Source organism: Homo sapiens, chromosome 4 (genome assembly GCF_000001405.40).
Source record: "Homo sapiens chromosome 4, GRCh38.p14 Primary Assembly".
Lineage (NCBI taxonomy): Eukaryota > Metazoa > Chordata > Mammalia > Primates > Hominidae > Homo > Homo sapiens.
Window position 1 is genome coordinate 128885651 of NC_000004.12, and position 27305 is coordinate 128912955.

At 36.8% G+C, this 27305-nt stretch overlaps 1 protein-coding gene across 5 annotated transcripts in view; it reads right to left on the reverse strand.

Moving 5' to 3' along the window:
* The window catches only part of SCLT1 (sodium channel and clathrin linker 1), a 220299-nt gene that overhangs the window by 12410 nt on the left and 180584 nt on the right, over window positions 1-27305 (reverse strand). For all 5 annotated transcript variants that reach the window (XM_047449590.1, XM_017007717.3, NM_144643.4 and 2 more), the window contains exons 19-20: window positions 5409-5487; window positions 3029-3124 (exon numbers count right to left, since the gene is read on the reverse strand). In XM_047449590.1, coding sequence (XP_047305546.1) covers window positions 3029-3124; window positions 5409-5487 — 175 coding nt within the window. The remainder of the gene's footprint in view (window positions 1-3028; window positions 3125-5408; window positions 5488-27305) is intronic.

Sequence of the window (27305 nt, forward strand, 5' to 3'; positions counted from 1 at the left end):
GCTTCCTGGCAAAAATGTTTCCAGGTGCAAGTGTGGGTCAAAGGTTATATACATTTACAGTTTTTGAAAGATACTGCCAAACTGTGCTCCGGAGACTGTACCAACATGTGCTTATATCAATAATATGTGAAAGTGCCAGCACAATGCATTTCCAAACTTCATGATCTGATAGGTAAAAAATGATGTGATTACAGTTTAAATTTGTATTTGTCTTATAGGTGAGGATGAACATCTTTTTAAATGTTTAAAAGCCATCTGTCCTTCTTTCTCCATAAACTTCCTTTATATATTTGTCTACCGGACTGTGGCATTTTTTGAAAACTTAGGTATCCTTTATATGTGTTTAGGGCATTAGCCTTTTGTCATATATGGTACAAATATTTTTCTCGGTTTGTCACTGACTTTATGACTTTTTCTGATACAGAAATTTGAAACTGTGATTATATTTATTAATTTTTTTCTTAGCTTCTAGGTTTTGTGTTCTTGCATTGAAAGGCTTCACCACGCTGATTTAAAAAACTCATATGTTAACAGAACACAGTATGGCATTCAACTATTTAGAGTGATACACTTAGAATGGATGAATAACGTGTAGAGAAAGTTAATCAGAAAAGCACATTTAGAGCACAGTGCATCAGCACGATTCAGGGCTTGTATTGAACCAGTAACACGATGCTGCACTGCACTATGGTAAGTGTGATGTGTCAGAGATGATAATAATTTTTAAATTTTCTTCATTTTGTTAATATGCATTTAGTAGGATATTATTTCTAATAGCACTTTTTCAGTTTTTATAGGAAAATTAGAAGATTCAGAGAGGGTAAAGATAAAAATTAAAAAAATAAAATGTACGTCTTACAAACAAAGTTGATCACTTGGACTCATTTAAAACAGAAAAAATATTAACTCCAGGGAAGAAATTCCTTTTTGGGTAAGGGAAAAGTGCTGAATAATTACCTTCCATCTTCAAATAAGAACAGAATGGAAGGAGAAAAGCTTAGGGAAAGATTTGTTACAGAACAATTCGTGAAGTGGTTACTGACAAAACATTTTAAAAAGGTTAGTCAAAAGAACGGTGGAATCTTTGCCATTGGAGAGTTTAAACAACAGAAGAAACATCAGTACTAGACTGTTTAGGTTTAATTTTTTCAGGGGAGAAACTAAACTAGATGCTAACTGGTTATATAATTAATGTCCTGTAATCGTTCCCTTTTTACTATAGAACTCAAGGTAGTTGATTTTCGTAGACGTTTTCTTTGCCATTTGCCTTAAAAAAGGTAAACGTGAAGCTTTAAGGATTATGATACAGAAATTTAATTTCTTACATATCTGTCTAAATATCTACTTACCACTATAGGAAATGCTTTACATGTGTTAATTCTTTTGATCCTTTAATAACCGTATGAGGGAGGTATTATTATCCTATATTAAACATGAGGAAACTGAGGCTTAGAGAAGTTGAAATTGCCCAAAGTCACAAGCTTTTACTTAATGGCACTAAATGGCACTAAGCGATTTGCCTGACACCAAAACACATACTTGCCAGATACTGTCCAGTGCACCTAACTTCTGTTACCTTATAACCTAAATACATTCTTGCATAATTAGCTAACCCATTAGTTAATTCATAACTTCATAAGACATAAAAATTATTTGAAAAGGCTGTAATTACTTTCAAGAGGGAGAGTAACAGAAGGATAAATTATTATTAAATTTTCTTTAAGTGGCATGCCATGTTCATAACAGAAGTAGATTCAAAAAAATCTGTAAATATCATGAACATAAACTGAATTCAGCAAGCAGAGTGGCTTTACTATGTATAAAATGCTGTAATAGTTAAGAATAATATTAATTTTGATTGAAATAATACATTTATAAGCAAATATAATTAATAATATAGTAATTTGATTTGTTTTTGTTTTCTCGCCTCCCCTATCTATCTATCCATTTCAACTGTCTGTGTCTAGTCTATAATCACTGAACTGGTCTCATTTTGTTCCTCATATGAGGGACTATTGCTCCTACTTTACAATCAAGGGCCTACTTCATTTATATGATGTGTGTGTATTAAGAGAAATTATCCCTTAGTATTTCATTGTTATTCTGCATTTTCTACTCTATTTCCCACTGGACAACTTTTATATTGTATTTTAGATTTTTTTGGTCATATGAAAATATGCATTAAGTAAATTAACTTGTAAGCCAAGGAATTTTTTTCCACTGATAAGTAAAATAAAAACAAAGTTAGTGAAATTTGAAATATTACATTCAAAGCAATATTATCTACTTTCAAATCTGTTAGTGAATCTCTGCCTGGTTTTAGATAGGACATAATTCTAGAGCAGTGTTGTGTAACAGAACTTTTTGTTATGACAGAAATGTTCCACATCTATGCTGTCCAATGTGATAGCCCTAGCTACATACAGCTATTGAGCACTTGAAATCTGACTAGTATGATGGATGATTTCAATTTTAAATTTAATTTAATTTAAATTAATTTAAATATAAATAGTGGCCTGTGGCTAGAGGCTATGATTGTTAGACAGTATATGTCTTTTCTGTTTTTTTTTTTTTTGTTGATACAGAGTGAGGGTCTCACTCTGTCCGCCAGGCTGGAGTGCAGTAGCACAAACGTGGCTCACTGCAGCTTCGACTTCTTGGGCCCACGCCATCCTCCTGCCTCAGCCTTCCCAGTAGTTGGAAACAGAGATATGCGCCACTATATTTGGCTAATTTTTAAAATTTTTTGTAGAGAAAAGGTATTGCCATGTTTTGCAGGATGGTCTTGAACTCCTGGCCTCAAGTGATCCTCCTGCCTAGGCCTCCCAAATTGCTGGCATTACAGTTGCGAGCCACCACGCATAGCTTATTTTTGTTTCCAATGTTTACTTTTTCAACCTCACATATTAAAGGGATTAATTTTAAAATATGTTAATCTAGTAAAAATAAACTATTAAGTTCCCTGGGAACTTCTAAAAAACTTATCTTTGAACTGTTTATTATCTAGGGATAAGAGGATGCTCCCTACCTGCTGGGAAGCTGAAGCAGCTCTCTCTTCTGCCTGACTTAGACGCCTTTGAAGTCTGTTGGCTTTTTCTTGATGCTCTAGAATTAGCTTTTCATTCTATTAAGGGGAAATAGAAAACAAGTTAGAAATCCATATGTGACATGGAGATGTTTTGTGGAATAATCAACGAAAAATCTGGACATCACTTTACCACTTATAAAATACAAAGAATATTATCTCCAAATTTACATTTTTCAAGTTATGAGCTTTAAAATACAAACTTTGTTTTACATTCTTAATAAATTGTTTTCTTTCTCCCACATGCCAGCAAAGAAAGTGAATTAACAAATCTCAAAGCAAAATGACTCGGAAGAATAAGACTTTCAATTTGTGAAGGTCACTGCTTCAGAATCACCTGGACTGTGAAAACACAGACTGCTGGGCCTTACAACCAGAGCTTTAGTAGGGGTGGGATGAACTGTTTCTGTATGTTCCCCAAGACATCTGCATACTCCAGAGTCTATTAGGGTCAAAAGAGCTATTAGGCACTGTTAGGGGTTGAATTGTGTCCTAACCCCCAGTATCTGGGAATGTGACCTTATTTGGAAAGAGAGTCCTTGCTGATGATCAAGTTGAGATGAGATCATTAGGGTGGACCATAATCCATATGACTGGTGTCTTCATAAAAGGGGAAATTTGGACACAGAGACACACATGTACAAAGGAAAGACAAGTTGAAGACACAGAGAGAACACAATCTACAAGCCAAAGAATGTCTGAGGCTACCAGAAGCTGGGAGAAAGGCATGGAACAGATTCTCCCTCACAGCTCTCAGAAGGAACTAACAATGTCAATACCTCAATTTTGGACTTCTAGCCTCTGGAACTAAGAGACAATTATTTTGCGTTGTTTAAGCCACCCAGTTTCTAATACTTTGTTATGGCAAGAACTATACAGGCATCATGAATACAAAGCTGTCACAACATACTGTCAGACAGACAAGTGCAAATAATCTATCAATTAAAAAATGGAAATTAAAAAATGGATTAGCTCTCTCCACACTTACTAGCCTGGTTATAGTACATCTGAAAAAAATATTTTTGTACAACTAGAATTGTTAAACAGTTTTTCTGGCACTTATCTGAATGAGATAATAATACAAGCCTAATCAGGAAGAGTTAGAAAAACACATTTTCTATGAAGAACCAGAAACTTATAGTTCCCATGTCCTAACATACAAGTGATAAGAATGAATGTTATGGCTATTACAGTAATATAAAATATTGAAATAACAGTATCCTGCTAAAATGAGCTTATTATATTTCTTATTATGCCCAAAAGCAAAATTAAATGTTATGAAGAGAACTATATTGGCTGGTCCAATTTACCAAGATGTTTAAATATGTAGCCTCTAAATTTTAAGAAGCACATCATATGCTAGAGAAAACGGGGGAAAAAATTCCATCATCTGTAATAATCATTTTCATATTTATACGCAGACTTCATATAATGCAACTTCTTCTATACTGCTACCATAATGGTTGAGGAACAGTTCAGATTGGATAAATCCTAGTATATGCAACTGTTCCTTTTCTATTCATCATTTTGGTTGCTTTTGATCTTCCTATATTATTAACATTACTGTACTGAGTACCTTCTTTCAAATTTTTTTTGTATTTTAAATTACTCATTAGAATAGATATCTGGAAATGGGAGCTACCTGAAAGATTATTTCAATGGCTATTCCTCAATTAACTTCTAAATGGCTCATATCAATTCATAATGCCATGATGCTTAGGAGTAACGATTTCACTATAGCTACTACAGTAGACCACAAAGATGGAGTAGACCATATATTCAGAGAAATTCCAACAAACATTTGAAGTTAGAACATCAAATGAAGAGATCTAAAAAGCCTCAATCATAATCCAAAAATTGTTTACTTTTTGAATGCCTCAAGGAAAAAAACTTGAACTCTTGCTATATTTAGTTCTAAGGCATAAATCTAAATATATTTTAATATATTCCAGTAGGCAAAAGTATTTTTTATGTGATGTGTCTTTTGGGATGGATTAAAATGAAAAAAGATGAATGGGTTAAAAAATAATTTTAGAGATGCATAAGAATAAAGGGGATCCTAATACGTTCTCTGAAATACTACACAAGTTCTATTGGTAAAACAGAAATAAGAGCTCTACCTTTTATTATTTACATATGATGAATCACTGATGTTCAAAGCTTTTATTCACATTATATTGCGTGTGGGCTTTTAGGGTTATGGATGATTTCTGTATTGTTATTTCCAAGTAGAGAAATAATTTGGATTTGGCTCAGGTAAAATTCTATAACATGTGTATCATGCTGCAGCAGAAAGCACTTCCCAGGGGAGTCATTATCTCACCTCAGCTACCTTTTCATTTGCCATTTCCAGCTGAGAAAGCAGCTCTTGGGTATGAAGTTTCTGTCGACTCAGCTCACTCCTATTAAGAGCACCAAAAAATCCATTAATATAATTGTTCCAAATAGAAAACAGAATCTTTATTAGCAAGATACATGTTCATGATTTGAACAAAAATATCATCTTGAGGTGGAAAATAAAGTCACTTACTAATAGACCATATCTCAAGGACTTGTTTATTTCTTTTTAACAAAACACACATATACTCTAGAGATTAGTTGCACAACAATGTGTATACATGTAACACTATTGGATTGTACACTTAAAAATAGTTAAGGTGGTAAGTTTTATGTGTATTTTATCATAATTTAAAAAATTTTATCACAATTAAAATGGTAAATTTTATGTATATTTTGCCAAACTAAAAAAAGCAAAATAAAAATACATATTTTAAAAGTACAAAAGTATCTTCAACATTATTTTGAGATACTATTAGACACTAAAATAAAAGCATACTCATATTAAAAAGATACAGTATTTATTATTACAAAATCTTGTAAGCTACTGTGCTTCTTAGCTATAATATGCTTTTTTTTTTTTTTTTTTTGAGATGGAGTCTCATTCTGTAGCCCAAACTGAAGTGCAGTGGCATGATCTTGGCTCACTGCAACCTCTGCCTCCCAGGGTCAAGTGATTCTCATGCCTCAACCTCCCGAGTAGCTGGGACTACAGGCTTGCACCACCACGCCTGGATAATTTTTTGTATTTTAGTAGAGACGGGGTTTCACCATGTTGCCAAGGTTGGTCTTGAACTCCTCAGCTCAAGCAATCCACCCTCCTCGGCCTCCCAAAGTGCTGGGATTATAGGCATGAGCCACTGTGCCTGGCCTTAGTATGCATTTGTAAGATTCATATACAGTGCTTTTTAGGGGAGCTCAACTCTTAGAAATTTAAGGAAACATTAATTACTCCAGTATCACTTCAGTGCAGTATAGTTAGAATTCTTATTTATGTTTTGGTTGTAAATGTACTGTGTTTTACTCATTCATATCATTTATGCTTCATTAGCTGAAATTATCTTACGCACAGAACTGTCTTCTTCTTCTTGTTCAACGTATAAGTATTCTATTGCTTTTAGCCAAATGTCACTTCAAGAGTTTCAGGTTAAGGGTACATACAATGTAGCCTTAAAAGTAATCTGAACAAATATCAGATAAATTTGTGAGTATTACATATAAGGAATCAATGACATTCAAAGCTTTTCTTCACATCACACTGTGTGTGAACTTTTAGGGTTATGATGATTATGGATGATTTCTGTATCATTATTTCCAAGTAGAGAATTAATTTGGATTTGGCTTAGGTGAAATCCTTGATTCAGTATTGGCTTTTATCCTTTGACCTTACTTGTGCTTCTTAAATCAATCAACAGATTAGCACTTCCAAAATAACTTCAGCTTTGATTTTTTTCAAATGAGCCAGCAAACAGCCTAAAAACTTGGTAAGCCTCTCAAGTATCCTATAGTTGAGTGAATAGTTGCTAAAAATAACAAGTAATTTGTTATAAATATATAAAACAGAAAGCAATGTCATCCACTATTCAATTATACAAATAGTTACTGAACATTCGTTACAGGCCAGGTGCAAGGTATGTGGTGGCAAACATAATTGTTGTCATCACAGAACTGACAGACTACGAGGGAGATCAGTTATTCTAACTTAGTGATTTCATAAACACAGGTTCATTGACTATGAGGAGTTTGGGTATCTATCATTAATTCCATGACAGACAAACCAAAATATATTGTTTTAGCTTTGAGTGATAATGACAAAATAGAATAAATTATTATGCTTACTTTAATGTATCTTGTGCAGCTTAAAATTACTGCCCAACCATCCCCCCGACAACATAAGAAAAAAAACAACTAAAGAATGATAAACAAAATGACTAGTGGTCAGTCTTCTAGGTCAAATGTAATTACAGGTAAAAGTTACGCATATTAGTGCTGATGAAAAATAAATTGTGAGTATAATTGAGATTAAGAAGAAACGATGAACACATTTATAAAGTTAGCCAACATTCAGTTTACACAAAACCTTTTCAGGAAAACACCTACTGGTATAATTTCATGCCTAAACTATTATTCACTTACTTACTCAAGACAATCTTAATGATGGATAGTAATGATTTTCCACAATATTTAAGATCACAAAGACACAAATCATTAAATGAAAATATACTTTGTTACCCTTAATCTATGTAAATATTTATCTCTTTATATATCAAGCTCTGTCTCCCCCATTGGATAGTGAGCAACTTCATTATTCATCTTTGTACTCAACAAAGCTTGGCAAATAATAGTGAAAATGATGTGATGATGATAATAAGAGCAAACATTTCCATAGTATTTGCTTACAATGTGCCAGGCACTGTTCTAGGTGCTTTCATAAATTAATTTAATATTTAGTTTGCATGACTAATATATAAAATCTCCATTTTTTTTTGAGATGGAGTCTTGCTCTGTCCCCCAGGCTGGAGTGCAGTGGTGCCATCTCGGCTCACTGCAAGCTCTGCCTCCCAGGCTCATGCCATTCTCCTGCCTCAGCCTCCCAAGTAGCTGGGACTACAGGCGCCCGCCACCACGCCCAGCTAATTTTTGTATTTTTAGTAGAGATGAGGTTTCACCATATTAGCCAGGATGGTCTCAATCTCCTGACCTCGTGAGCCGCCCTCCTCGGCCTCCCAAAGTGTTGGGATTACAGGCGTGAGCCACTGTGCCCAGCCCCGAAATCCCAATTTTTACATATGAGAAAATTAAAAAACAGAAATTAAAAAAATAAGTAACTTGCCTAGGGTCACATAGCCTGTCAGGTTTTTTGTTTGTTTGTTTGTTTGTTTTTTGAGAGAGGGTCTCACTCTGTCACCCAGGCCAGAGTGCAGTGGCACAATCACGGCTCACTGCAGCCTGCACCTCCCAGGCTCAGGTGGTCCTCTTGCCTCAGCCTCCTGAGTAGCTGAGCCTTCAGGTGCATGCCATCATGCCCGGCTAGTTTTTTTGTATTTTTTGTAGAGATAGGGTTTTACCATATTGCCCAGGTTGATCTAGAACTCCTGGGCTCAAGCAGTCCTCCCACCTTGGCCTCCTGAAGTGTTGGGATTACAGGTGTGAGCCACTGCATCTGGCTGCTTGTCAGTTGTACAGTCAAGGTTAAAAAAACTTGGTCCTTTGATTCCAAAGTCCGTGCTCTTAACCACTGCCCTATACTGCAACATGGCAGGCAAATAATGAAAGTTCATTGAGTAAGTAACACACACACACACACACACACACACACACACACACACACACACACACACAGAGTATATGTGTGTGTGTATGTGTATTAGGCCTTCTAGGAATATGAAAATTTATATACTTACTTGGAAAGCTAGCAATTAAATTTTTACTTCAGACTTCTTCCCTAAAAGTCCAGTCTTAAATTCAAACTTAACAAGCCTAATATCAAGCTTTTTGCATTGTCCCACAAATCTACTTCTCATCCTGCTCCTCAGTTTATACTGACATCTCAGCCCTAGGTGTCTAGGTTAAAAAGCTTAAAGTCAACTCCTATTTCTCACTTTGTCTTTCTTTTTTTTTTGTGAGATGGAGTCTCACTGTGTCTCCCCGGCTTGAGTGCAGTGGCGTGATCTCGGCTCACTGCAACCTCCGCCTCCCGCTTCAAGTGATTCTCCTGCCCCAGCCTCCCCAGTAGCTGGGATTACAGGCACCCACCACCATGCCCAACTAATTTTTGTATTTTTAGTAGAGATGGGGTATCACCATGTTGGCCAGGCTGGTATCAAACTCCTGACCTCAGGTGATCCACCCTCCTTGGCCTCCTAAAGTGCTGGGATTACAGGCATGAGCCACCGTGCCCAGCTTCTCACTGTCTTAAATGCAACATCTCATTTACCCTGAAAGAGACTCTCTCTTTGATACGTCTCTTGCATCTATTTTTCATTCCTATTCAGTGTTACCATCCCAATTCAAGTCCTTAGAACTTAATTCTTAGAGTTATTGTAATAACGAGCTGCTTGGGTTTCTCAATATCAGGTGAAACAATATATGTAAAGCACTCTACCACAGGGCAAATGAATGTACTCAACTAATATAGTGGGTTTCCCTCTCTAAACCATGTATCTCTAGCATATTTCTCTTTCCAAAACACCACTTTAATAATTTGCTTCTTTGAGTGATAATCTTCAATGGCTCTCAGCTATTGGACAAAATAGTCCAAATTCCTGAGAATGTCATAAGATCCTCCAAAATTTTGTGTAATTTATCTTTCCAACCTTATCCCCAAAAGGAACCTTCCACACTTCAGTTGGGCTCTCACTGTCTCGAAAACAAACTGCATATGTATTACCTCAGGATCAGGTTTATATTATTTTTTAGATTGTGTTTTTCGGATTTCCCATTACAATTCTGCCCATTCTTTAAGACTGCACCCTTGGTGGGGTGAAGCCAAGATGGCTGAATAGGAACAGCTCCAGTCTACAGCTCCCAGCATGAGCAACGCAGAAGATGGGTGATTTCTGCATTTCCAACTGAGGTACCGGGTTCATCTCACTGGGGAGTGTCAGAAAGCGGGTGCAGGACAGTGGGTGCAGCGCACCTAGCATGAGCCGAAGCAGGGCGAGGCATTGCCTCACCTGGGAAGTGCAAGGGGTCAGGGAATTCCCTTTCCTAGTCAAAGAAAGGGGTGACAGACGGCACCTGGAAAATCGGGTCACTCCCACCCTTAATACTGCGCTTTTCCAACAGTCTTAGCAAACGGCACACCAGGAGATTATATCCTCTGCCTGGCTTGAAGGGTCCTATGCCCACGGAGCCTCGCTCATTGCTAGCACAGCAGTCTGAGATCAAACTGCAAGGCGGCAGCGAGGCTGGGGGAGGGGCACCCGCCATTGCCAAAGCTTGAGTAGGTAAACAAAGTGGCCAGGAAGCTCAAACTGGGTGGAGCCCACTGCAGCTCAAGGAGGCCTGCCTGCCTCTGTAGGCTCCACCTCTGGGGGCAGGGCATTGCCAAACAAAAGGCAGCAGAATCCTTTGCAGACTTAAATGTCCCTGTCTGACAGCTTTGAAGAGAGTAGTGGTTCTCCCAGCACGCAGCTGGAGATCTGAGAACAGACAGACTGCCTCCTCAAGTGGGTCCCTGACCCCCAAGTAGCCTAACTGGGAGGTACCCCCCAGTACCGGGTACTGGCTGGGTGCTCCTCTGAGACAAAATTTCCAGAGGAACGAACAGGCAGCAACATTTGCTGTTCACCAACATCCACTGTTCTGCAGCCTCTGCTGCTGATACCCAGGCAAACAGGGTCTGGAGTGGACCTCCAGCAAACTCCAACAGACCTGCAGCTGAGGGTCCTGACTGTCAGAAGGAAAACTAACAAACAGAAAGGACATCCACACCAAAACCCCATCTGCACGTTATCATCATCAAAGAGCAAAAGTAGATAAAACCACAAAGATGGGGAAAAAACAGAGCAGAAAAACTGGAAACTCTAAAAATCAGAGTGCCTCTTCTCCTCCAAAGGAACGCAGCTCCTCACCAGCAATGGAACAAAGCTGGACGGAGAATGACTTTGACGAGTTGAGAGAAGAAGGCTTCAGACGATCAAACTACTCCCAGCTAAAGTAGGAAGTTTGAACCCATGGCAAAGAAGTTAAAAACCCTGAAAAAAAATTAGACAAATGGCTAACTAGAATAACGAATGCAGAGAAGTCCTTAAAGGACCTGATGGAGCTGAAAGCCAAGGCTCGAGAACTACCTGACGAATGCACAAGCCTCAGTAGCCGATTCGATCAACTGGAAGAAAGGGTATCAGTGATGGAAGATCAAATGAATGAAATGAAGTGAGAAGAGAAGTTTAGAGAAAAAAGAATAAAAAGAAACGAACAAAGCCTCCAAGAAATATGGGACTATGTGAAAAGACCAACTCTCGTCTGATTGGTGTACCTGAAAGTGACGGGGAGAATGGAACCAAGTTGGAAAACACTCTGCAGGATATTATCCAGGAGAACTTCCCCAATCTAGCAAGGCAGGCCAACGTTCATATTCAGGAAATACAGAGAATGCCACAAAGATACTCCTCAAGAACAGCAACTCCAAGACACATAATTGTCAGATTCACCAAAGTTGAAATGAAGGAAAAAATGTTAAGGGCAGCCAGAGAGAAAGATCGGGTTACCCACAAAGGGAAGCCCATCAGACTAACAGCTGATCTCTCGGCAGAAACTCTACAAGCCAGAAGAGAGTGGGGGCCAATATTCAATATTCTTAAAGAAAAGAATTTTCAACCCAGAATTTCATATCCAGCCAAACTAAGCTTCATAAGTGAAGGAGAAATAAAATCCTTTACAGACAAGCAAATGCTGAGAGATTTTGTCACCACCAGGCCTGCCTAAAAGAGCTCCTGAAGGAAGCACTAAACATGGAAAGGAACAACCGGTACCAGCCGCTGCAAAAACATGCCAAATTGTAAAGACCATCGAGGCTAGGAAAAAACTGCATCAACTAACGAGCAAAATCACCAGCTAACATCATAATGACAGGATCAAATTCACACATAACAATATTAATCTTAAATGTAAATGCGCTAAATGCTCCAATTAAAAGACACAGGCTGGCAAATTGGATAAAGAGTCAAGACACATCAGTGTGCTGTATTCAGGAAACCCATCTCACCTGCAGAGACACACATAGGCTCAAAATAAAGGGATGGAGGAAGATCTACCAAGCAAATGGAAAACACAAAAAGGCAGGGGTTGCAATCCTAGTCTCTGATAAAACAGACTTTAAAACAACAAAGATCAAAAGAGACAAAGAAGGCCATTACATAATGGTAAAGGGATCAACTCAACAAGAAGAGCTAACTATCTTAAATATATATGCACCCAATACAGGAGCACCCAGATTCATAAAGCAAGTCCTTAGAGACCTACAAAGAGACTTAGACTCCCGCACAATAATAATGGGAGACTTTAACACCCCACTGTCAACATTAGACAGATCAACGAGACAGAAAGTTAACAAGGATATCCAGGAATTGAACTCAGCTCCATACCAAGCAGACCTAATAGACATCTACACAACTCTCCACCCCAAATCAACAGAATATACATTCTTCTCAGCACCACACTGCACTTATTCCAAAATTGACCACATAGTTGGAAGTAAAGCACTCCTCAGCAAATGTAAAAGAGCAGAAATTATAACAAACTGTCTCTCAGACCACAGTGCAATCAAACTAGAGCTCACGATTAAGAAACTCACTCAAAACCGCTCAACTACATGGAAACTGAACAACCTGCTCCTGAATGACTACTGGGTACATAACAAAATGAAGGCAGAAATAAAGATGTTCTTTGAAACCAACGAGAACAAAGACACAACATACCAGAATCTCTGGGACACATTCAAAGCAGTGTGTAGAGGGAAATTTATAGCACTAAATGCCCACAAGAGAAAGCAGGAAAGATCGAAAATTGACACCCTAACATCACAATTAAAAGAACTAGAGAAGCAAGAGCAAACACATTCAAAAGCTAGCAGATGGCAAGAAATAACTAAGATCAGAGCAGAAGTGAAGGAAATAGAGACACAAAAATCCCTTCAAAAAATCAATGAATCCGGGAGCTGGTTTTTTGAAAAGATCAACAAAATTGATAGACCGCTAGCAAGACTAATGAAGAAGAAAACAGAGAAGAATCAAATAGACGCAATAAAAAATGATAAAGGGGATATCACCACCAATCTCACAGAAATACAAACTACCATCAGAGAATACTATAAACACCTCTACGCAAATAAACTAGAAAATCTAGAAGAAATGGATAAATTCCTTGACACATACACCCTCTGAAGACTAAACCAGGAAGAAGCTGATTCTCTGAATAGACCAATAACAGGCTCTGAAATTGAGGCAATAATTCATAGTTTACCAACCAAAAAAAGTCCAGGACCAGATGGATTCACAGCCGAATTCTACCAGAGGTACAAGGAGGAGCTGGTACCATTCCTTCTGAAACTATCCCAATCAATAGAAAAAGAGGGAGTGCTCCCTAACTCATTTTATGAGGCCAGCATCATCCTGATACCAAAGCCTGGCAGAGACACAACAAAAAAAGAGAATTTTAGACCAATATCCCTGATGAACATCGATGCAAAAATCCTCAATAAAATACTGGCAAACCGAATCCAGCAGCACATCAAAAAGCTTATCCACCATGATCAAGTGGGCTTCATCCCTGGGATGCCAGGCTGGTTCAACATATGCAAATCGATAAACATAATCCAGCATATAAACAGAACCAATGACAAAAACCATAAGATTATCTCAATAGATGCAGAAAAGGCCTTTGACAAAATTCAACAACCATTCATGCTAAAAACTCTCAATAAATTAGGTATTAATGGGACGTATCTCAAAATAATAAGAGCTATCTATGACAAACCCACAGCCAATATCATACTGAATGGGCAAAAACTGGAAGCATTCCCTTTGAAAACTGGCACAAGACAGGGATGTCCTCTCTCACCACTCCTATTCAACATAGTGTTGGAAGTTCTGGCCAGGGCAATCAGGCAGGAGAAGGAAATAAAGGGTATTCAATTAGGAAAAGAGGAAGTCAAATTGTCCCTGTTTGAAGATGACATGATTGTATATCTAGAAAACCCCACTGTCTCAGCCCAAAATCTCCTTAAGCTGATAGGCAACTTCAGCAAAGTCTCAGGATACAAAATCAATGTGCAAAAATCACAAGAATTCTTATACACCAATAACAGACAAACAGAGAGCCAAATCATGAGTGAACTCCCATTCACAATTGCTTCAAAGAGAATAAAATACCTAGGAATCCAACTTATAAGGGATGTGAAGGACCTCTTCAAGGAGAACTACAAACCAGTGCTCAAGGAAATAAAAGAGGATACAAACAAATGGAAGAACATTCCACACGCATGGGTAGGAAGAATCGATACCATGAAAATGGCCATACTGCCCAAGGTAATTTATAGATTCAATGCCATCCCCATCAAGCTACCAATGACTTTCTTCACAGAATTGGAAAAAACTACTTGAAAGTTCATATGGAACCAAAAAAAGAGCCTGCATCGCCAAGTCAATCCTAAGCCAAAAGAACAAAGCTGGAGGCATCATGCTACTTGACTTCAAACTATACTACAAGGCTACAGTAACCAAAACAGCATGGTACTGGTACCAAAACAGAGATACAGACCAATGGAACAGAACACAGCCCTCAGAAATAATGCCACATATCTACAACCATCTGGTCTTTGACAAACCTGAGAAAAACAAGCAATGGGGAAAGGATTCCCTATTTAATAAATGGTGCTGGGAAAACTGGCTAGCCATATGTAGAAAGCTGAAACTGGATCCCTTCCTTACACCTTATACAAAAATCAATTCAAGATGGATTAAAGACTTAAATGTTAGACCTAAAACTATAAAAACCCTAGAAGAAAACCTAGGCAATACCATTGAGGACATAGGCATGGGCAAGGACTTCATGTCTAAAACACCAAATGCAATGGCAACAAAAGCCAAAATTGACAAATGGGATCTAATTAAACTAAAGAGCTTCTGCACAGCAAAAGAAACTACCCTCAGAGTGAACAGGCAACCTACAGAACAGGAGAAAATTTTTGCAATCTACTCATCTGACAAAGGGCTAATATCCAGAATCTACAATGAACTCAAACAAATTTACAAGAAAAAAACAACCCCATCAAAAAGTGGGTGAAGGACATGAACAGACACTTCTCAAAAGAAGACATTTATGCAGCCAAAAGACACATGAAAAAATGCTCATCATCACTGGCCATCAGAGAAATGCAAATCAAAACCACAATGAGATACCATCTCACACCCGTTAGAATGGCAATCATTAAAAAGTCAGGAAACAACAGGTGCTGGAGAGGATGTGGAGAAATAGGTACACTTTTACACCATTGGGACTGTTAACTAGTTCAACCATTGTGGAAGTCAGTGAGGCAATTCCTCAGGGATCTAGAACTGGAAATACCATTTGACCCAGCCATCCCATTACTGGGTATATACCCAAAGGATTATAAATCATGCTGCTATAAAGACACATGCACACATATGTTTATTGTGGCACTATTCACAATAGCAAAGACCTGGAGCCAACCCAAATGTGCAACAATGATAGACTGGATTAAGAAAATGTGGCACATATACACCATGGAATACTATGGAGCCATAAAAAAGGATGAGTTCATGTCCTTTGTAGGGACATGGATGAAGCTGGAAACCATCATTCTCAGCAAACTATCGCAAGGACAAAAAACCAAACACCGCATGTTCTCACTCTTGGGTGGGAATTGAACAATGAGAACACAGGGACACAGGAAGGGGAACATCACACACCAGGGCCTATTGTGGGGTGGTGGGGGGGGGGAGGGATAGCATTTGGAGATATACCTAATGTTAAATGATGAGTTACTGGGTGCAGCACACCAACATGGCACATGTATACATATGTAACTAACCTGCACGTTGTACACATGTACCCTAAAACTTAAAGTATAATAAAAAAAAAATTAAAAAAAAAGACTGCACCCTTGTCCCCCTTCTTTTCAGGTCTCCTTTCCATTCATTTTAATCCAGACAGCTTTCTTTACACATCAAATCTCTATGATATTAAATACTTATTTTATGTATAAGAGATTTATCAATCCTGTATTATAATGCTAGTATTTTACATATATGTATAGATATGCACATATATGTACACACACATACATACACACATTCTTCTAAGTGGAATAGGAACTTTTTTTTGTTTTTGTTTTGAGATGGGGGTCTTGCTCTATTGCCCAGGCTGGAGTGCAGTGGTACAATCATGGCTCACTGCAGCCTTGACCTTCTAGGCTCAAGTGATCCTCCCACCTCAGCCTCCCAAGCAGCTGGCTTGGCTAATCTTGCCTGGCTAATCTTGTGTTTTGTAGAGATGATGTCTCATTATGTTGTCCAGGTTGGTCTCAAACTCCTGGGCTCAAGCAAGCCTCCCACCTCGGCTTCCCAAAGTGCTGGGATTATAGTTGTGAGCCACCGTACCCAGGAGAAACTTTTAAAAGAAGGATTATTTTTAGTTTCCACAGTATCTACCACGCTGCTTTACAAATCCAAATGGAGTCATGCATCAGTTAATAATAGGAATACATTCTGAGAAATTTATCATTAATTTTATTGTTGTATGAACACCACAGAGTTTGCTACACAAACCTAGATGGTAACGTCTACTACACACCTAGGCAAAATATTAATAGTATAGCCTACTGCTCCTAGGCTACAAACCTGTACAGCATGTTACTGTAGTGAAGACTGTAAACAATTTTAACATTGTAAGTTTTCGTGTATCTACACATAGAAAAGGTACAGTAAAAATACTGTATAAAAGATAAAAAATGGTACATCTGTATAGGGTACTTGCCATAAATGGAGCCTGCAGGACTGGAAGTTGCTATGGGTGAGTCAGTGAGTGAGTGGAGAATGAATGGGAAGGCCTAGGACATTACTTTACACTTCTGTAGACTTTACAAACACTGTATACTGAAGCTACACTAAATTTATAAAAACATATTTTTTCTTCAACACTAACCTTAGCCTACTGTAACTTTTTACTTTATAAAATTTTTAATTTTTTAACTTTTGACTCTAAAACACAAATGTACAGCTGTACAAAAATATTTTTTCTCTATATCCTTATTCTTTGAGTTTTTTGTTAAAAACAAAGACACCAACATATACATTAGACAACGCCTACACAGGGTCAGGATTATCAATATCAGTGTCTTCCACCTGTACATCTTGTCCCACTGGAAGGTCTTCAGGAGTAATAACACACATGGCACTGTCACCTCCTTTGATAGCAACGCCTCCCTCTGGAATATAGCTCTTGAAGGACTTGCCTAAGGCTGTTTTACAGTTAACTTAAAAAAAAAAACATGTAGGAGTATGCTCTAAGATAACAATAAAAAGTACAGTATAGGAAACACATAAACCAGTAACACTGCTGTTGATTTTCAAGTATTATGTACTATACATAATTGCATATGCTATACTTTTATAAGACTGGCAGTGCAGTCGTTTTGTTTAGCATCACCATAAACACCTGAGTAATGCATTGCACTAAGACATTATAACAGCTATGACGTCACTACGCAACAGGAATTTTTCATCTACTTTATAATCTTATCAGAACACTATTATATATGTGGTCCATCGTTGACCAAAATGTTATGTGGTACATTACCATATTTGCTGATTTATGGCTAAATTTCTAATTTTCTAAAATTAGAAAAGTTCTAATTTTCTAAATTATAGAAAACATAGTAGTTAGAAAATTTTAATCCTTATTTGCTCAAGATTTACTGAGGAATTTATCAGAAAAACCATATTTTAGATAAAAACTATTGGTATTTATTTAGACTTATTTATATTCTTCTTTCTCCAAAGAAATTGAAGTGGCTAAGAAAAGCTTATTTTTCATTCAAGCATTTCTTTCAACCTTACAGTTTTCTTCCAAATGAAATTTTAGAAGGTATTAAAGGGTGAAGAGAAAAGTGATTTCACAAACTCTATCCCCTGAGACTTTCCTAGAGCCTTCCTGTCAGTACTTTGTATCTTCTTATTTCTCTGTCAGGATGTTTCATTGCAGGGATAAAGGAAAGACCCGGGAGGATGATTCGACTCTTTGTTATCTACAAGACATTTTCCCTTCATTAGAGAAAATAATTGAGAGTTCCCTGTATCATGAATGATTTAGGATAAACATTAAATAAGACTTTCCAGAAAGTTTCACAGTGGTATTACAGTTGAAACACATGCCCAGTAAGACTATATAATCTCTTCCCTGGAAATCTTTAAGAACAGAAACATTCATACCTATCAGAGATGATTTAAGTGTAGCTTGCCGGAAGACACAGAGATAGAGGAAATTTCATTCTGGTATGATATTTTAAAGAGTATTTTGCACCAAGTAATTGAAATAAAACTGTACCCAATTTCTCTATAATTTCTGGCTTATTATAGGGTATAAGGATCAAGGTGTAATTACTATCTTCCACTAATTTTAAAGTACATATAGAAGAATGAGGAATCCCTTATAGTATCACTGGGAAGTGCTTAGTTCATCAGTGTCTCATACGTTTTTAGTTCACTTATATAATTCATGTTTATGTGACAGAAAATCTTACTCATCCTTACAAAACATAATTTAGAAATATACTTGCAAAATGTAATTTCTGTGTAAGTAAAAGTTTACTAAGTAATTTACATATGAAGCAATTTATGTTGTATGTATTAAAAAATTAAATGCTTAAATAAACAAAATACTGTAATCAACACTGATATGCCATCAGATTAGACCATTGTTGGAAGATCTTTCAGCCCTTCCCTCTCTTCTCCTGAGTGCCCACTGTTTGTTGTTCCCATCTTTATGTCCACGTTGTACCAGTCTTTTAATCAAAATGTTTTCTCAACTAAATCATATTGTTTCCCACTTAAGTCCAATCAATTACGAGAGATGTTAGTAAAGCAAATCTGTAATATCATATAATATTAAGATCTAAAAGGCAAAATAAATATTTTCTGAACAAAATATTTAATCCTAGTATGTGGCAAAATGGTTAGCAAATGCAAAGATTGTAATCTCAACTTTTTGTATGGCTTCAAAAGACCTGACTGCTAAAAAAGAAAATTCATTCCAAAGTTTCAAATCTTTTCTCATTGTTAACTAAAAATACCATGGGTTAAGGCAGGCGGGTCAGCGTTAGATATACTGGAGAACTTTGGGTCAGTGTTAGGTTCTTTCTTTCCCTATTTACACTTTCCCCCTAAGTGATCTTGTCTAGTCCATGACTGTAAATATAACATTACAAATTTCTATCTTTAGCCTGACCTCTCTGTGCTCTTCACTTGTGTATTCAATGACCTACTTGACACGTTTACTAGAAAAAAACTAATAAGCATCTCAAATGTAACCTGTCCAAAATGGAAACTACTTCTTATCTATCTCTTCCTAAGTTCCCTTCTTCCTAGTAAATAAGCATTGCCATCTACCTGGCTGCTCAAGTCAAAAGCTTAGGCATCATCTTTGATTCCTCCTTTTTCCTTCATGCCCTATATTTATCAGTAAGTTCTATTCTACCTTCCAAATGTATTTCAAAACTGCCCACTTCTCTCCATCTCCACTGAAGATAACCCTATTCTAAGCCACTATCATCTATTGCCAAAACTACTGTAAAACTCTAATATCTGGTTTCTCTGATTCCATTTTTGCTCCCTCTCTAGTCTATTTTCCATACAGTAGTTATAAGTGGTCTTTAAACTCTAAGGATGTTTCAAATTCTCCAGTGATTTCCCACTGCTGCACTTTAGACTTTTTTTTAACCTTAAAATAGTACTACTTAAACATTCTACTTAAAATGAGTAAAAGTATCTCATTTAGAATAGCCCACTCAATCTGATCCCTGCTGAGGTAGCTTTTCAATATTACAGCATTCTTTCCCCTCACTCACTATACTCACTCACATGAGCTTACTCCTTCCTAACACTGGACCTTTACACTTGCTATTCTTCCATCTGCCTGGAATATTTTCCTGACTTTTTAGTATAATTTCTTCTCATTTTTCAGACCTCAGTTTAAATGTCACCTTTTTAGACTATTTTTTTTTTTCTAAAATAATCTAGCTCTTCTAACTCCTACCTCCATTCCAGTAATGTATCACATGACTCCATTTATTTTCTTCATACCACTTTAAACATCTTAAATTGTTTATTTGTTGGTTCTGATTGTTATATTGTTGGTTCTTCTCTTACAGCCTCTCCCCACTAGAATGAAAACTCCTAAGGAGAAGCTACATTCACAAGGCTTAGAATGTAACTGGCAATCAAAAGGTGTTTTTTTTTAGCCTATGCATGCTTTAATTAATTCCACAGAATCAGTTGCCTAGTCCATCCAGTAATAACATTTCTAATATCTTACATCTTGCCTTTTCAAAGTTTTTGCTAAGTACTTGCTCTCATATCAGAACTAATGAGATAATTCAGTGATTATATTTTCTTTTTTTTGAAACAGAGTCTCGCTCTGTCGCCCAGGCTGGAGTGCAGTGGCGCGATCTCGGCTCACTGCAAGCTCTGCCTCCCGGGTTCACGTCATTCTCCTGCCTCAGCCTCCCAAGTAGCTGGGATTACAGGTGCCCACCACCACACCTGGCTAATTTTTTTCTATTTTTAGTAGAGACGGGGTGTCATGGTGTTAACCAGGATGGTCTTGATCTCCTGACCTCGTGATCCGCCCGCTTCGGCCTCCCAAAGTGCTGGGATTACAGGCGTGAGTCACTGCACCCGGCCGATTATATTTTCAAAGTAGCCATCAAGTGATATAATAAATTTGGGAGATTACTAATAGGAAAATCAATGTGTTCTAAAGCTTTATTTATAAAGATCCTTCACAGGAAGCTTATTTTAAAGTTATTTGAAGAATGAACTGAAAGTTACAAAGTAATGGTTGAAATTTCCTCACAACATCTATTGTTAAGTGCTCATCTTAGAAGGAGTTTGGGGAAATTATGAAGTTCACTCATTTAATAAATACTGAAATGAGTGCCTGTTACATGCTACATACTACTGTGCTAGGTGCTAGGGAGACAAGGAGGAAACAAGATCTAGTCACTGCCATAGTGAAACTTATGAACCACTAGAAATATTGGAAAGCTACTAGGCTTAAAATAGGTAGCAAATGCTATAAAAACTTCATGGTGCTATGATAAAACATATGGAAGAATCGGGGGTTAGAGCTGTCTCTTCAGAGGAAGTAGACTTTTAAGCTGATATATAAAAGATAAATAGCAGTTAGATGGAAAAAGGCAGAAGAAGGAAAAGAAGAGTGTCACAGTCAAATCCGTGTGTGAAGACCAGGAAAAAAGGATAATAAATTCAGGAAACAAAAGAAGTTCAGCATGAATGAGATACAGAGTGTTACTAGGAGGTGGGGGTGGGAGTGAGAGAGGAACAAGCTGGAAGTGCAAGGAAATACAGATCACAAAGAACCTTATAAGTCGTAACAGGAAATTGGCACTGAAGTATTTTAAGAAGAGAAGTGACGATTCGATTTGAACATCAGGAAATCTTGCTGACTGTAGCAGGAAAAATAGTAAGGATATTAATCCATAGTCAAATTAGAGTGTTATTGCAGTAATCCAGGTGAGCAATGTTGACAGCCTGAATGATAGCAACTGGAAAGAAATGGACAGATTGAAGAGATATCTAGGAGATTGAATTAGTAACACTGGGGTTTGGGTTATGAGGAGGAGTCCAAGATGATACCCAGAGTTTTTCTTGAGCAACTGGGTAGATGATATTACCATTCACAGAAATGGGAAATATAGGATGAAATAAAAATAAAAACTTCAGCTAGGGGTGAAATAATGGGTTCAATTTAGACTAAACTCAGTTTGAAGTACATATGAAAATACTCAGTAGAGAGTTGGAAATACAGACTATTTCAAAAAGGTCTGCATTAGAAGATGTTTTATAATAATAATTGGCCCATTTCTGTTTTTCTCTATCATAGAAATGAATATCCTAACCCATATTGAAAGTCAAGAGTTTCCACACTAATTGTATTTTAATTGTGACTATCACTGGCATATCCATTAGCTGAAATGGTATGGTTATGAGAGTATGAGCAAGGTTTTCCCTGCAATGTATCCATCTCTTTGAAAACATCACACATACTTTAAATAAAACAAATAAAAGACATATGAAATAAAACAAAGTTACTTAATTATGGGATAAGAAATTTAAATTTAGGCTAACATCTTGGACACTTTAATTAATTACTATAATTGCTTGGACCAGTCTGTTATGATTGAGGCACCGTTTAAGGTAAGGATGAGCCATGTAGATTTTGGCTGATACAGTACAAAGGAAAATTCCTTCAATGCATGAAATGCTTTAGTGATGACTGATGATTAAATTGCATAAGGTTCTATTCTATATTATATGAGAGAATTAAAAACAAAAGGTGCGCTATTCATTTCAGTGAAATGATGGATCTGCCAGCTGCAGCAAGCACTTTCCTTGGAACTCTCTTATGACAAATTAACATAGCATGTGCCAGATGTTTTTTTCTTTTTCCTGTTGAATTATGCTATAATATGCTTCAGTTACTTTTAGTAATTATGTATTTTGTAATTTGCTGGTACCTGCAGCTGCCTCTCATCCTGTTAATTAAAAAAAAAAAAAAGAAAGAAAAAAACAGTTACAGCAGCCAAACATTACAGATATACAGCCAAGGAATTATATTGTTTTACAAAGTGAAGAGAATGCCTTAGGTGCAAATGCTGTGTAGTTCACTCTATATGTACAGTTTGTTTTGGACAAGCGAATATTACATACTGTATATTCATGTGTTCATTCATTTATTCAATACAATCTAATTGAATAATTAGATTCCTTTCCCAATTAAAACTGTTTAATCTGGTTAATAAAACCATAAATATTTAGATCCCTGTCTGCAGCAGAGACAACAGTGTTCACCAGACATTCCATGTGTACCATACATTTCCCAGACTTCTATGCAGTTCTCACCAATGGAGGTAAAAGTTAGTGATATATATAATTTCAAAACTGAGTTAGTTAAGTGCCCATGTTCCTCTTCCATTCCTCTCTTTCTCAGAGGTGATCTCAGGAAACCACGTGTTAAAGAAGGCGTACACTCTAGTAGAGCCTTCCTGCCAAACTGCCTAAGACATGCAACGTAAGCAATAATAAACCTTTGTTTTGTTTAGTCCCTAAGATTTCAGTTTGTTTGCTGTGGTGGCTGACATTGCTTAACATAATAAACTGCGTAGATCTGACCTACTCTTACATCACTATTGCCTCATTTTGCATACTATTTCTTTTACTTCAAACATACTGATTGTATTACTGCTTTGGCGGTCTTTGAACTAGCTGTTCTCTTTGCTTAAAATGCTCTTTCTCCTGATCTTTATATCCTTTTTATCATTATATCTCACCTTAAGATTCATTTCTTCACAGGATCTACCTGGTCTACCACCCTCAGATATCCAACAATCCATTATCACACTGGCTTATTTTAAATTTTCTTTCTTTTTTTACAGACAAGGTCTCGCTCTGTCACTCAGGCTGGAGTGCAGTAGCATGATCATACCTCACTGCAGTCTTGACCTCCTGGCTCAAGTGGTTCTCCCACCCCAGCCTCCCAAGTAGCTAGAACTACAGGCACACACACCATGCCCAGAAAACTTTCATAATTTCTGTAGGGACAGGGTCTTGCTATGCTGCAGAGGCTGGTATCAAACTCCTGGCTTCAAGTGATCCTCCCACTTCGGTCTCCCAAATGCTGGGATAACAGGTGTGAGCCACTGCACCCAGCCTCTAAACTTTTTGCATGGTACTTATTATCTGATAATTAACATGCGTATGTTTATTTATTCAATAATTTCTACTTCACTGTCAATAATCTAAACTTCAAAAAAATAAGAATCTTGTCTTTGCTGTATTCCCATTACTTCAAGAACAGTGCCTGCTCAATAAATACGTGATAAGTGAATAATATGTAGACTAGGAATATGTCCGAGGGCTGGCCAAGCACTTTTGGTTTATTGGGGTGGTTGTTCAGTGTGACTGGAGCATAAAGAACTTGAAGGCTGGAGGCAGAGAGGCAGACTGCAGATAAAATATGGCAGAGAAAAGACTGTGAAAAATCTGTAGGCAACAATAAAACAGAAGTCTTTAAGTAGGCAGGGCCAGTATACTTACTTTTTAGTAAAATAACTGTAACAGCAGTATGAAAGATGGAATAGAGTGGGGAAAAATTTGATGGCAGAGAAACCAGAGTGAAGGCGGCCACTTTAGGAGCCATAGTTAAAGATGTGAGGGCCCTGACCAACTGCAGGGACACGTATGTCACCGCATGCTTATACACATGCAAGTATTTCTATAGGACAGACTCCTGTACCAGGAACTGCAAAAGGATCTGTACAGTTTAAATTTAGTTAGATTTTGCTACATTACCTTATAAAAAGTATTTGCCAGTTTACATTCCCACCTATACTGTATGACAACTCCTGTTTCCCCATGTATTTGTAGATGCTGGATGTTAACCATCTTCTACATTTTGCCAATTTGCTGGGTAAAAATTATTGCTTAAATTTGCATCTCTTTAATGAAAAGTGAGGCTGAACTTGCTTTGCTATGTTTAAAGGAGATTTGCATCGATACTTTTGTGAGCTTTGTTTGAACCACTGAGTTCACATACTTTGTCCATCTTTCTATTAGGTTGTTAACCTTTTAATGTGGAACTTGATGAATTTTGCACATTAACCCTTTTAAAATTTTTCCAGTATCCCATTTGTCATTTATCTTTGTTTAGTATCTTTCTTCATAAAAATTTTAATTTTTATGGTTAGATCGATTAATCACTTTTTCTTTTTTGGATTCTGGGTTTTGTGTTTTGATTAGAAAGTCTTCTCTATTCCAAGAGAATAAAAATAATTTTATTTCTTCTAATACACTCTTTTTTACACTTAGCTCTTTAATACGTCTGGAATTTATTTTATATATGAAATAAAGAATATTCTAAATGATTTTCTATCTTTTTAACATCATCTTTTCACCAATGATTTGAAATACCACCATTATCATAACCAAAATTTCTGATTTTATATTTTTTTTTCTTTTTCTGCATTCTGTTCAAATTATCTATCCTTGTGCCAATACTGTTTTATGTATTTTGATATCTGGTAGGGAAAATCTCATTTTTTTCCCACAGAGGTTTGTTGATTTCATCTATAAAAATAGTAACAACAGGCCAGGTGCGGTGGCTCACGCCTGTAATCCCAGCACTTTGGAAGGCCAAGGTGGGTAGATCACCTGAGGTCAGGAGTTCGAGACCAGCCTGGCAAACATGGTGAAACTCCATCTCTAGTAAAAATACAAAAAAATTAGCTGGGTCTGGTGGCAGGAGCCTGTAATCCCAGCTACTCGGGAGGCTAAGGCAGGAGAATCGCTTGAATCTGGGAGGCGGAGGTTGCAGTGAGCCAAGGTTGTGCCATTGCACTCTAGCCTGGGCAATAAGAATGAAACTCCGTCTCAAAAAAATATAATAAATAGGTAAATAAAATAACAACAATCTCTCATTTAAGTAAGATTAGTACATATATACTGCAGTTACAGATACTATACACTAATAAGTTAACTAGTAAAACAGCTTCTTCTTTGAAGCTCAAAATTCTTTGTGATACATACATTGCAAGATAAAGTAGTAGTAGCTAAGAGGGGATAATTATAGAGGAATTAATAAGATATTACAAATTAAACTTCAAACCAAAAGATACCATACAGAAACTCAAATTTTTAAAAAGCTTCTGATCCTAAGTTCTCCGATACTAAGATGAAAAATTACCTATGAAAAAATTATTTTATTTAATTATTTGGTGTTACATTTAGTTTTGACCATAGTTACTTATGGGTAGATAATTTTAAAAATCACAGGTACTGGTAATCATATTTAATTGTCAGTTGCGAAAAGGTATAGAAGTTTCCACGGGGAATAAAGCAAGTCAAGGGAGGACTACGTATATCATGACTATACTTATATTTGGTTTTGCCTCTAATATTCTCCTAACTGTAGCAAATAGGTGGACAAAAGCAAGCAAGAAAATAGCAACTTAAAAGAATTCAATTCTTATGAAGTAGAGAGGACAGAGGCAAACAGCCAAGTACTTTCAAGATTCAATGCATACAACTAATTTAGAGACCAAGGAATGCTAGCACTTTTTAAAAGGCATATTTTCAGGGGGAAAGCTTTGATGCTTAATACATCACAATAATGCACACAGAGAAGCAGGATGCTGAGCCCTAACCTGAAAAGGCTCACTTTTGAAAGCGAGTAATAACACTTTTGATATGAATGCTAGAATATATAATGCTGTGGTATATATAGAGACATCATTACACGGAGAGTCAAATGCATCAAACAAGCCATTTACTTTTAAAATGCTCTGTAGTTTATTTTGCAATTTATTATTAATTAAAGACCTAATTGGTTCAAGACTTGGACTATACCATTGAATCACTAAAAACAAAAACACTTCTAAGGAGAACAAATGAATTCTTCCCCAGAGATATGGAAGTACCATCTAGCAGTTAGTCTGGTACTTTACTGATGCTCAATATGGATGCTATTGTATGTCAAGGGTAGATTATCACCTTTGTAACGTATTTTTTCATTAAAATTAAAAATAAATTTTTTAACTTGAAAATTATAAATCTATTATGACTGTCATAGAATTTTGTATTATGACCAATAGGTAAGATAGGTCAGTGAAAATACTTCAGTAGATACATTTTATTGATTTCATGCATAATCTTCAGTATTATTTATGTTCTCCAAAAAGGAGGGATACAATTCATATATATAAATCTTGCCTAAAATCTACTGCCTTCTAGAACTAGTAATCTTTTTGTGCAAGTAAAAGTAAGTACATGGGCTTTTCTCTCCTACTCTTCCTCCTCCTCCTTCCCCTCCTCCTCTTCCCCTCCTCCTCTTCGCCCTCCTCCTCCTTTTTCTTTGTATATATATATAAATAGAGACAGGGTCTCAATGTGTTGTCCTTTACCAAGACTTGGTTTTTAAGGCTGGGCAGAAAAGGAGGTAAGCTTTGAAACAGAAAGAAAAAAAGATGGCAAAAATCCTAGTGATATTTACTGGATTTACTGGATTCACATATACCACTGGTCAAGATATAAACTGCAATCTTGACTATTTAGGCTAGGCAGGG